The sequence below is a fragment of the Homo sapiens genome, chromosome 13 (genome assembly GCF_000001405.40).
Source record: "Homo sapiens chromosome 13, GRCh38.p14 Primary Assembly".
Taxonomy (NCBI): domain Eukaryota; kingdom Metazoa; phylum Chordata; class Mammalia; order Primates; family Hominidae; genus Homo; species Homo sapiens.
In genome coordinates this window covers 88,211,867-88,224,885 of record NC_000013.11, presented here as the reverse complement: position 1 = coordinate 88,224,885, position 13,019 = coordinate 88,211,867, and the positions used below count along the sequence as shown (strand labels likewise).

General features: G+C 32.7%; 1 long non-coding RNA gene across 1 annotated transcript in view; it reads right to left on the bottom strand.

Moving 5' to 3' along the window:
- LINC00373 (long intergenic non-protein coding RNA 373) overlaps positions 1 to 13,019 on the bottom strand; it is a 93,216-nt gene that overhangs the window by 11,197 nt on the left and 69,000 nt on the right. The window contains exons 2-3 of the long non-coding RNA NR_131919.1: positions 12,447 to 12,545; positions 10,566 to 10,617 (exon numbers count right to left, since the gene is read on the bottom strand). This is a non-coding gene — a long non-coding RNA (long intergenic non-protein coding RNA 373). The remainder of the gene's footprint in view (positions 1 to 10,565; positions 10,618 to 12,446; positions 12,546 to 13,019) is intronic.

Below are 13,019 nucleotides of genomic sequence, written 5' to 3'. Positions count from 1 at the left end.
TGCGCCGAGATCGCACCACCGCACTCCAGCCTGCGCGACACAGCGAGACTCCGTCTCAAAAAAAAAAAAAAAAAAAAAAAAAAAAAAAAAAAAAAAACATAACTGGCGGGCGCGGTGGCTGACGCCTGTAATCCCAGCACTTTGGGAGGCCGACGCGGGCAGATCACGAGGTCAGGAAATCGAGTCCATCCTGGCTAACAAGGTGAAACCCCGTCTCTACTAAAAATACAAAAAAAAAAATTTAGCCGGGCATGGTGGCGGGCGCCTGCAGTCCAGCTACTCCTGAGGCTGAGGCAGGAGAATGGCGCGAACCCGGGAGGCGGAGCTTGTCTGGGAGACAGAGCAAGACTCCATCTCAAAAAAAAAAAAAAAAAAAAAAAAACAGAACTGTGGGCCTGGGCGCGGTGGCTCATGCCTGTAATCCCAGCACTTTGAAAGGCCGAGGTGGGCAGATTACCTGAGGTCAGGAATTCGAGACCAGCCTGACCAACATGGCGAAACCCCATCTGTGCTAAAAATACAAAAATTAGCCGGGTGTGTTGGTGGGCGCCTGTCATCCCAGCTACTCGGGAGGCTGAGGCTGGAGAATTGCTTGAACCCGGGAGACAGAGGTTAGTTACAGTAAGCCGAGATCAAACCACTGCACTCCAGCCTGGGCTACAGAGCGAGACTCCATTTCAAAATAAATAAACAAAATAAATAAAATAAAATAAAATAAAATAAAATAAAATAAAATAAAATAAAATAAAAACTGAACTGGTGGGAGAGAGAATGGATATAAAATTGAAGTTAGACCTTTGTGTATGTTTATGAGAAATAAAGATTCTAAGCTAAAATACAATACGAACTTGAAAGGGCCTGAGATCTCTTTTTAGAAAGATGGAAATTAAATGGGTATCAGAAAGTTTATGAACTATATTGGTTGGAATTTGGTGTAGAATTGTGGATAAATGGAGCTAAAATTTTATACTTCTGTGTGAGATAATGAGGGTTAAGCTCTTACCACTATTTTCATTTGCTAGTCTAATATTGCTCCATTTAGCTATTCCACAAAAATTGTTTGTATTTACCAAAAGCATTTTCCGTCTAAAGACACAATATTTCCTTAGTGCTATTACATTACCTATTAATCCAGGATGTAGAGTTAACAAGACCATCCTGATTGAGCACCTAACTCCTCCAGTTCTTCAACTGAGTGGAGAATACCACAACAGCTCAAGAACAAGAAAAACACTGAATAGCTCTAAAACCAACTTTATAAGCGTACAAACAAATGTTGGTACATCCATACAGTGAAATACCATTCATTATGAAAAAGAAATGAGGTATCAAACCATGCATATACATGGATAAACCTGCTAAAGCAAGATTAAATGTATACTTTGCTTTTTTACAAATTCTAACACATTAGAATTTATGAAGAGAAATCAAATGTAGTGAAATAAAAAGCATTATATCCTTATCTGCTAAAATAGATGTAAATTCCCAAGAATACTATAATCATGATATAACTGCTGAAATAATTCATAGAAATGAGTAATGATATTGAGAGTGAATGAATGGTAAATAGAAATGTATTTAATCATCTATAAATTAAAACTTAATTACATAATATATGCCAGGAAAGATAATAGGCATTACAACATTGTACTACTTACCTCCCCTCTAATGTCTTATTATCGAATAGTATAGGAGAAAAAATATCTATTTACATGTATATTCATATTATATGATATGGAATAATAATTAGTCATTCAATGATATGAGAACCAAAGTGTAAAACCTAGGACATTCAGGTAACTGAAACTTTTTTAATAGTGAACTATAAGAAGAGAAAAAAATATAATATTTATATGATCACTCTATTACAAATATATTGTGAATAAATAGGACAAGTATAAAAAATATGGAAATTAGCAAATAGCAGGCACAAAACATATTTGTTTTTTTCTTTTTCTTTGAGATGGAGTCTTGCTCTTGTTGCCCAGGCTGGAGTGCAGTGGCGTGATCTCGGCTCACTGCAACCTCTGCCTCCTGGGTTCACGCGATTCTCCTGCCTCAGCTTCCCCAGCAGCTGGGATTACAGGTGCCTGCCACCACGCCGTTAATTTTTGTATTTTTAGTAGAGACGGGGTTTTGCCATGTTGGCCAGGCTGGTCTTGAACTCCTGCCCTCAGGTGATCCACCAGCCTCGGCCTCCCAAAGTGCTGGGATTACAGGCATGAGGCACCGTGCCTGGCCAACAGATTTTTTTTTTTAATTGACAGATAAAAAGACATATTTTAGAGCTCTGTTTTCCAATATGGTATTCACTAGCCATATTTGAAATGTGAGCACTTAAAACATGGATAGTCAAAAATGAACATATTTTAAGTGTAAAATACACATGTGATATGAAAGATTAAGTAGAAAAATGCAAACTATGTCATTAGTAAGTTCAGATCTATTATTTGTTGAAATAATAACATTTTAATATATTTGGTTAAGTAAACTATATTACTGTAATGGATTTTATCTATTTATACTTTTAAAAAATATGGCTATTAGAAATTTTTTAATTATATCTATGTTTCATATTATATTTCTATTGGAATGGCATCATTTTAAGACATCAGAAATATTGGAAAAATATTGAATATTTTCCCACATTGACCAGAAAATTTGCTGCAAACTTATACCATTCTAAGGAGTCAAAATGTAACCTGATAGATAAAAGAGAAGTCTCCAGTAAAGACACCCATTTGCATCTGCTACCAATTTCATCATGCTGTCTCTACTGTTAAATAACAAACTGCCAAAAACTTGGTGGCCTAAAATAATAATAAACAGTTATTTACTTATTATTCTTCAGTCTAGCTGGGTTCAGATAACTGGTTCCGCTGGTTGGTTGTTTAAGGTCTCTCATAAGTTCAACTAGGTTGTTTAAGATCCTTGGAGGTTCAACTAGGGACAAAAAATTCTGAGCACTCCTCCCTCAAATGTTTGGCACCTCAATGTTAGATGTGGACGAGACGCTCTCTTCTTGTGTTCTCTCCAGTAGGGTATCCTAGATATCTTTCTGTGGTGGCTCATAGTGCCAAGACAGTGAAGGAAACCTTTTTGTATGTTTCCTGAGGGTTCCAAAAGAGCAAGGGGTGTTGCCAAGCCATTTAAGGTCAAACCACATCTGAGTTATTTTTCACTTCTGCCGTATCTTACTGGTTTCCAAGAAAATCATGTGGCCATATAAGGGCAGGTGAATAGATCCAATATATATGGGAAGTGTTTTTGACAGTCTTCTCTGGAAATTATTTACCACATCATTAAATTTATTGGACTACAGACATGTCTTATAATTTTTCAAATATTATTATTTTCTAGATATCGATACAATCACACTTATCATGTTTTCTTTGAAAAATATTGCACAGGTCAGGTGTGATATCTCATGCCTATAACCCCAGGATTTTGGAAGGCTGAGGCAGGAGGATAACTTGAGGCCATCGCAGGAGTTCAAGAGCAGCCTGGGCAACATAGCAAGACCCCATCTCTAGGAAATAAAAAAAAAAAAATCAGGTGTAGTGGTGCGTGCCTGCAGTCCCAGATACTTGAGAGACTGAGGCAGGAGAATCACTTGAGTCCAGGGGTTTGAGGCTGCATTGAGCCACGGAGCCATGATCAAGCGGTTGCACTCCAGCCTGGGTGACAAAGCAAAACTCTGTCTCAGAAAAACAATTAAAAGCATAAAAAATAATAAAAGAAAAGAAAAAAATTGTACAATGTTTGCCAAAGTTGTTTACTGAATTTAAATAATGCATCTTATATTTAAACAAATGACTATATGATTCACATTCTAAAAACTTCAAAATAGAGAATAGCATTATACTTAAAAATAAATGTCCTTATTTAATTTCTAAAGATTAAAAGGCTCAACTTCAGAGATACCATGAGCTTGCTAATTTTTTTGCGAAAACAAAGCTATTTATGTGTTTATGGTAATATATATTAATCTACATTATTTTTCATTTATGTTACAAAGCCTTAGAATTGAAAGCTGCCTTTTGTAGAAGTTATTGACTTCAGAAAAGATCATGCTGCATTTTTAAATATCCATCATATTTCTTACACATAATAACCATTTTGAATGAAATGTTTTTGCTCCTACCATTGCAAAAGAAACTTCTCTACTTATTTTATACTGCTGAAATTTCTGATTAAGTAAATAAATCCCTAAAATAATTCACTTTTTTGAAAATTCCCTCTTTTTTTCCAAAGGCATTAGAAGTTAACTTTTGTTGTGAAAACCAATACCTCTGAAAATATTAAAATGGGCCATTCCATACATAAAGGGAAAGATGGTAGTTAAGCCTCTGACAGCATGAAAGAAAAATCCGTTCTGATTTTTATTCAATAGGGAAAGCCTCAGTTCTAAAGGTGAGGAGCACAGAAGACAAAAACGGCAGCCAGTGGCATAGAAGATAAAACCAAGGATGTGCAGTGTACTGAAAGCCAAAAGAGGTAAGTGTTTCAAGTAGGAGTAAATGAACCCTCTCAAATCTCACCAAATGGTCAAGTTTGATGAGAATGGAGAACTGAATTCTATGAGCATTGGTAGAAATAATCAGGCAGAAGCTGGACTGAAATTGGTTCAAGAGAGGCGAGGAGTTGTGATCTGGAGTTGGTTTTAGAAGATGTTTTGTAGAATGGATGAATACACTTAAAGGAAAAATCTGGAGACAAATTGATTTAGAGTGATTTTTATGCTCAAAGCAAGAGTATTAAAGGCTTATTTAAGATCACCTCATGGACAACAGAACATAAGGATAAAGCTTGAGATATTATGAAAATATAACCTACAAAAATACGAAATTAATTGAACAAGAAAGGACAAAGGGAGAACCAACTACAGATAATTACAGATTTTGCACCTGGAGGACTCTGAGAATAGTGGGTAAAGTAGATAAATGGGACACAAATAGAAACTCTGTTTTAGACCTATTGAATAAAAGTAATAATAACAAGCAGGAGATGGATAGTAGAAAACTGAGAATATATATTTTACATGTAAAATGGTACAAACTATGTGCCAGAAAGCTAAGACCCACAGGCCCAATTTGGGCTGGTGCCTGTTTTTATAAAGTTTTATTGAGACCTAGCCACACTCATTCATTTTTGTATTGTCTGCAGCCGATTTCACACTACAGTGGCAGAAGTGAGTAGTTGTTGTATAACCCCAAAAAGCTTAAACTATTTACTATTTGAATCTTTGTGAAAAAGATTACCCAACTCTGGCATAAATAAATTCTCTCTTGAATGTAGCAAGTGACTACTAACATAGTTAATAATTTATTTTAACTAAAATTCTATTAATCACTAAAAGGCGTAATATGATGATGAAAAAAATTTGTTTGTTAGAAAGTGGTCAAACAGCTGAGTTCAAATATGATTACCCTGAAGTCTTTCAAATCTAGTAAAATATCCCACAACTGTTTGAAACATATTATCAATATTTCAAATGGAAAGCTACATATGGAAAGATAGAGTAGATCAATTGAATAATTAACTTGGTTCTGAAACATTCAGACATTGAACATTTTAAGTCTTTACTTGACTTTAAAAAACTTGAGAATTTTAGAACTATCACATATTTCTATTATATTTAAAAGATCGTCAAAATCAGAATAATTTTGAATAGATATAAATGATACTTTAAATTTTAACTAGCAAGGAGTAAAGTTAGTTGCTTCAATTACAATACCCAAAAGTTATAATTAGGTAAAGCTTTAAAATGGCAATGATAATTATGCCTAAAACATTGCTGAAATTGAAGACTACATAAATATTTTTTATAAAAAATATTTTTATAAAAATATTTTTATAAAATATATAAAATAGTTTTATAAAATATATTTTTATATTTTATATATAATATTTATATTTATATAAAAATATTAAAAATATTTTTATAAGTATTATACTGATAAATATTTTTACACACGAAATACATGATCTAGACATTTACTGAAAACTCTTGATCATCACCATTAGTTTGTAATCTTTATTTAGGTTATATATTTTTGGTATTTTATTTTCAATGATTCAAGTTAATTATGTCAATATCCTATAAGCAAATATGCAGACATACAATATTACTGTTTTGCACCAGTGGGTTTTCACGACCTATTTATGTAAGCAATTATCCAAATATATAAGACAATCATTTCCGTTTGATTATTTTTTATACATGTGTATTTCTTGCATTTAGTGAACAAAGAATATCTGTTTTATTTAGGTTGGTGCCTTAATTAGAATGATGTTCCTCTAACTGGAAAGTAAAAGTACAATTTAAACAGAAAATAAGAATGAAACCAAGACAAAAGATTAATTTTGAAGCAGGAATTTATCACAGTTAAACCTAGGAGATAAGACACATGTAATTAGAATCCTCACAATAGAGGCAGAGTGAATAAAAACATTAAAGGCCTTTGCTAAATTAACACTTCATTGTATTAGCATTTTACAAAATCTTTGCCTGCAAAATATTTGACATAAATGGCAATGTCTGACAACATTGAAGAGTTAACTTTCTGTGACAGTGTGTGGATAATATACATAAATAAATTGAGTATTTTAAAGCTACATTTGTAGAGTGAGAACGATGATATCGTTAAATTTCACTGAAGTCCTTCAAAGGAAAAGATGAGAATCTTCACTCTAGGTATAAATTACATTGGTCCACAATCCTTAAAATTGACACACCAAGAAAGTTACCAAACCATTCAGACACACCCTATTAGCTAGAGAAATCTCTGATGTTTCATGGAAATTTATTCCTGAGTCATGAAAAATTCCTCAGTATATTGCAAAATCTATTATAGAATTTGTGTCTTTGAAGGATTTTTTACTGCCACTCATGGACCCTCTACCCAAAGGCTAGTCCTTCACCTAACACTGCATTGGACAATAAATTACATATTTTCAGTATAGTCTTATCTGTATGTTTAATTTGAACAAGCATTTGGTTATTACTATAATATTTCATATTTAAGAGAAAATGTCAAGGATGATATTTTAACTCATCAAGAAAACCACACCATTACTTTGGAATTTTTTTCTTTTGTATCAACATAATAATAAAATATATAACATGACATTTAATTATGCCAGATACTTTAAACATTAATTTTCATGTGTTTTTTTAAATTAGTGTACCGTGCCGTGTATTTTAGACCTTTTTTTTCAACTTTATACTGTATTAGCTTTAAATGTCTTGCTGAAATGAATCATATTTAGCACTGGGTTTGAAAGTTCCTTGACAGTTTGATTTATAGTGCATATTCCTTCTACATACCTCAGATGCACAGCAGTATGACAAACACGGGGCTTACTAAGGGAGACATTTCTCTCATGTTTCAGCAAAACTACTCTGTTTCTGAATAAGCTCGTTTCATTGGATGCTCAAAAGTTTTATTTTATCATCCCAACCTTGGAAAATATTGTTGATGGAAAACGCTTCTATCGCTATACTATATTTCTTAATACAATCGCCCACCATTTTCTTTTCTGTATTTTAAATTTGAGTCACCTCAAGGTTAACTTTTTGTTAACTCTTTTTCTCCAAGTCTTATCTAATACAATTATAGTGATGAGCTTTTAGAAAAAAAAGGCATTTTCTATCTGCTAATAGAGGAAGCGTCTGGATGATAAAAGATGATAAAGAGACAAAAATGTTCTCCTTTTAACCTATAAAAAGCACCCAGTATGCTGAATAAACAGTACTTGCATAACGTTATTTCTGAAAAAGGACTATCATAAAACCTCTAGACTTTATAGATTATTGCGATTTACTGATTTGTTTTTAAGTTCTGTAGTCCCTCGTTGGTGGCCCTGCTCTCAGAAACCAAAGAGGTACCTCTGCCCATGGGAACCCAGCCGGAGCCAGATCCTGATCCACTTTGAGGATCGTTCTTATCTCTCTTGAAGGATACATGTTCATAGGGGGTGGCTTAATCAGCCCATTTCCTGGCTGTGGAAACACAGATTTCCAGAGCACATTTTCTCTCTCTTTTTTTTATTTCATTATTATTTTTATTATTATTATTATTATTTGCAATATGGATAGTCTAAGTATTTATCAAGTTCTGGTTCTTTTTTGCTTAAAAAAGAAAACCAGATTTTATTTCTTTCCTCTCTCATTTTACTATGAGCAGCAAAGAGAAACTAGCTCATCAATTTACAAGTTCTACTTTTCATAAAATAGCCAAGTTCTCACCACTTTATAACAAGATTATCTTTTTCCACCAGTTTCCCATACATGTTCCTCGTTCCTGTCTGAGACCTCAGCAGATATCTCTTTAACACTCATATTTCTAGCAACAGTCTCTTCAAAGCAATCTGGGTTTTTCCTATTATGTACCACAAAGCTCTCCCAGCCTACAATATTACCCCATCCCAAAACCACTTTCACATTTTTAGGAATTTGTTATAGAAGCACCACACTTCTTGGTACCAAAATCTGTATTAACTGGCTAGGCCTGAAGTAACAAAGTACCACGAACCAGGAAGCTTAAACAACCAAAATGTATTTTCTCACTGTTCTGGAGGCTAGAAGTCCAAAATCAAGGTGTCCGAAAGGCCATGCTCCCTCTAAAACACCAGAGAATGATCAGTTCTAGCTATTTCTTCTAGCTTCTGGTGGTTCCTTGGTTTGTGACAGCATAACTCTAATCTTCATTTGATATTCTCCCTGTGTACGTGTCTGTTCCAAATTTCCTCCTTCTATAAGAGCAACAGTCATATTGGATTAGGGAACAACTCTACACCAGTATGACCTCATCTTTACTAATTACAGTTGACCCTTGAACCATGCAGGATTGAACTGCGCAGGTCCACTTATATGTGTATTTTCTTCTGCCTCTGCCACATTTGAGAGAACAAGACCAAGCCCTCCTATCCTTCCTCCTTCTCAAACTACTCAATGTGAAGTCAATGAGGATGAAGACCTTAATGAACAGTAAATATGTTTTCTCTTCCACAATTTTCTCTTGGTTCCATTATTGTAGGAATATAGTAAATAATACATATACAAAATATGTGTTAGGCATGTTATTGGTAAGTCTTCTGGTCAACAGTAGGTTATTAGTTAAGTTTTGAGAGAGTCAAAATTATATATAGATTTTCAACTGTGTGGAGGGCCAGTACCCCTAACACCCATATTGTTTAAAGAACAACTGTATGTCCGCAATAATCTATTTCCAAATAAGATCACATTCTCAAGTACTGGAGATTAGGACTTCAATATATGAATTGGAGAGGGTGGCAACATTCAACTGATAACATGCTATGTTTTAGATAAGTAACAATTACCTGGTAAAAAGCATATCATTATACAAATACTCACTAAACAGTTATAATTCCTATTTTCTATGTTTCCATGATATTTTCTCCTGGAGACTATTTCTTTTGTTTTGACATAAATATTGTATAATGAGAGCTGGAAAGAAGCAAAATGTTTTAAGGCTATGCTTGTATTAATTCTCTTTGACTAAAGTAACAAATAACAAATTATAGTAGTTTGTATGCTTAAAGATTCTGATTGAACATTATCGATTTCTTGGAAACCACAGGTTAGTTTCACAAAGTGTGGCAAGCCTAAGAGGTTCATTTTAAATTAAATTACAACTTCTTTCAGGTTATTGGCAGTATGTCTTCAGATTTTACTTTCAATGTGTAATTATATGCATAAAAACTAACATGCAACCATATTAGAAAATAAAGAAACATGACAAAGTACAGTGCTCTATAATAGGGTTTTCATTACATTAACAGAGTAAATATATAGCTGTTTGTTTATCATAGGCAGACAGTGATGTTTAAATTTACTGACTGATAAAGATTATTTTTGTTATGGAAATCTCGTGTAATTGTCCCTTATCAGTTTTGTTATATATCCTTGAGTAAATATAATTTGCCTACTAAGATTGTAGAGATGAATTACTTTTCTTTAATGCTATTTGATCCACTGCAAATAACTTAATCAGGTAATCTTTTATCCATGTGAGAGGATTTGCACTGATTTGAACTCAATGCTTACATGGATGCAAGAAAGACACAAAAATAAGTTGTTTTAATGGTTTCCATTTTCCATATTATTTTCATAGAAAGTATGATAAATTGGGCCCAAGATAAGTGACTTTGCATGTTTATAGTATATTAAACATTTCCTTTAACCTAATCTTAGGTTGTTACTCTTGTTCCTAAGAAGAACTGCAAATTTCAGAAAATATAATAAAGACATAGGTAAAATTTCATGTATTTATTTACCTGAGTAACACTTACTATAATTTAGATATATGACAATGTTTACATATATACATATATTTATTTATTTATCTTAGGAATTTAAAAAATATGGACTGCAGAAATATTTCCAAACTTTTTGAGTTGTAAAATTTAAGAAAAAATAAATAAAAGGAAATATACCTTGTAAATCACTGGAGAAATCTGTGAGTCGAAATAATAACTGAAATAAAATTTAAAAGTTAAAGATAGTTGTTCTGTGGTAGTAGAATATAGATTATACTTACAGTTTGTTTCTAATATCTGTATTTTCTCTGATGACCACTGTTATTTGGTAACCTAAAAGGAATCATAAACAATTTTAAATTATTTGAGAAGCAAAATCAGTAAGTGACAATAAAGTAAGAAGAATCAAAGAATATTGATGTGAAAAGGTTTGCATTTTAGAAAAACACTATAATATTTTATTCTATCCTGGGGTTTAAATATTGCTTCCTTATGGAGAAAAAATAACAAGAATGTATCGAAAATGAAAAGAGAAATTTTAGTACTCTATTATATTCTAAAGTATATTTAAAAAATGGGAAAAATTTGCCATAATATCAGCTCTAATGAATTTATTTTGCTTTTTTGTCAATTCCAAATGCATTTACAAAATACCCCCATGATGTTTTAATTTGGTTATTTGTTTTAGGCTCTTAACAAACAATTTCTAAAATCTATGCCAAAAAATAAACACAAAGGAATAGCTGTGTGAATTTTCAGAAACAAGGCAAAGAAAAAAGATTTGAACATACCAGATATTGTGACATTCAAAGAGTCATTGCTATGAAAACAGTTCAGTCTTGGCTTAGATATAAATAAGCTCCTGAACAAAATAGAGAGCTCAAGAAAAAATACATAAATGGAAAAATTAGAAAAATGAATGAGATATAAGACGTAAATTAGTAGCATTGAGAAAACCATCTCAAACATGGCCAAAGATAAGGCAAGATCCTGCTTTTGCCACACATCCAAGTGAGCCATAAGTTAATTAAAGACCAAATGTAAAAGAATATAATATAAACTTAATAGGCAATAATGTAAAAATATATTTTCATCAGAACAAATTTTTTTTCCAAAGTACGAAAGATGAGTGATTTTTTTAGATTTGGTTACCTCAAAATGAAGGATTAAATTAACGAAAAGATGATGTAGACTGGGTAATAAATTAAAAAAAAATTTGCCACATCTTAAAACACCAAAAATTTACTTCTATAGTATAAAAAGAAATCTACAAAGCAAGAAAAAAATATATAAATAGAAAGTTTTGCAGAAGAAAATCCCATTAGCTATGTGTATTTAAAGAGATGCTTAAAATCACTAGTAATCCTATAAATGAGAATTAATATAAGTTATATTACTATTCTAAACCCAATGTATTGAAAAGATACAATTATATATAATATAATGAATTAGAAGGGATTTCACGAGAAAGAAACTCCTATTCACTTGTGGTGAGGCTGGAGGTTATTTCAACTATTCTGTACAATTTTCAAGCTCATTTAGTAAACTTGAGTAAAATAAAGTTCTTCAACTAAACATTTATACTATCCTTGGTTTTATATATGCCAGATAATTTTTTAGTAAACTGTATACAAAGTTCCATACAAATATATTGACTTGGCAACTTTCACAGTCTACATATGTATATAGGGAATAGCTAAATAAGATGCTAGGGATTCATGGTAAAGAATACAATGCAGTATTTGTAAACTATGGATTAGTGGATATGACAAAAGCCATAGGTGATAAAACAGTGCTGAAAAAAATTAAGAATTAGGATGAGATGTAAATCAAATATATTTTAAGTAAATTATGTAAAGCCATATAGAGTGACAAAAACCTATATCAAGACATGCTAATGCGGATGCATTTAGGAGAGATTTGTGTGGGAATAAGGGATAAAGAAAGAACCATAAAATAAGAAAGAACCTTGGGTATGCTGCTGCTGATTACACACTATGAAGTGAGCAGTCTGATTAACTCTCTTTCCTGCACCTGAAAATCCACCAATACATTTTATTCATTCATTCATTCATTCATTTATTAAATCAGAAAGACCACCTTGTCAGTGGGATTTTGCAGTTCAATTTTAAAATAAAGAAATAAAATAAATCAGGACTTACACAAGACACTTATGCAAAAGGATTATTGCAAGGAAGAATAGGGACTTCACAGTCGGGAGAAAGCTGTAACCCTCAGATCCACACGTGCAATCTCGGTATCTGCAGGTTCCATATCCGCAGATTCAACCAACCGTGGATCAAAAATAAATAATAAATAAATAAGTAAATAGAAACAATACAACAATAAAAGAGATTCTTTAAAGTTTATGGGAGAATGAACATAAGTTATATACAAATACTATACCATTTTATATCAGAGACTCGAACATCCGTGGATTTTGGTATTTGCAGGGGGTCCTGAAACCAATCCCCAACAGATACTGAGGGACAAATGTTTCACAAATGTCAAAGAGGCGATTGTTTTTGTTGTTTGTTTTTGTTTTCATTTTTTAAAGAGGGGAGTAAATAAGACTAGGAACATCCCAATGTGGGGAGTAGATCAGTTTGGCCCAGTAAATCAGAGAATGTCAATGGAAGCCAGCCTATCTCAGAAGAAGTTGGCAGTCTGACTCAGGCTGAGAGTCGGCCACGGTGCAAGGTCCTGGAGGAAGGAAAGAATCTTAATCAAAGTTT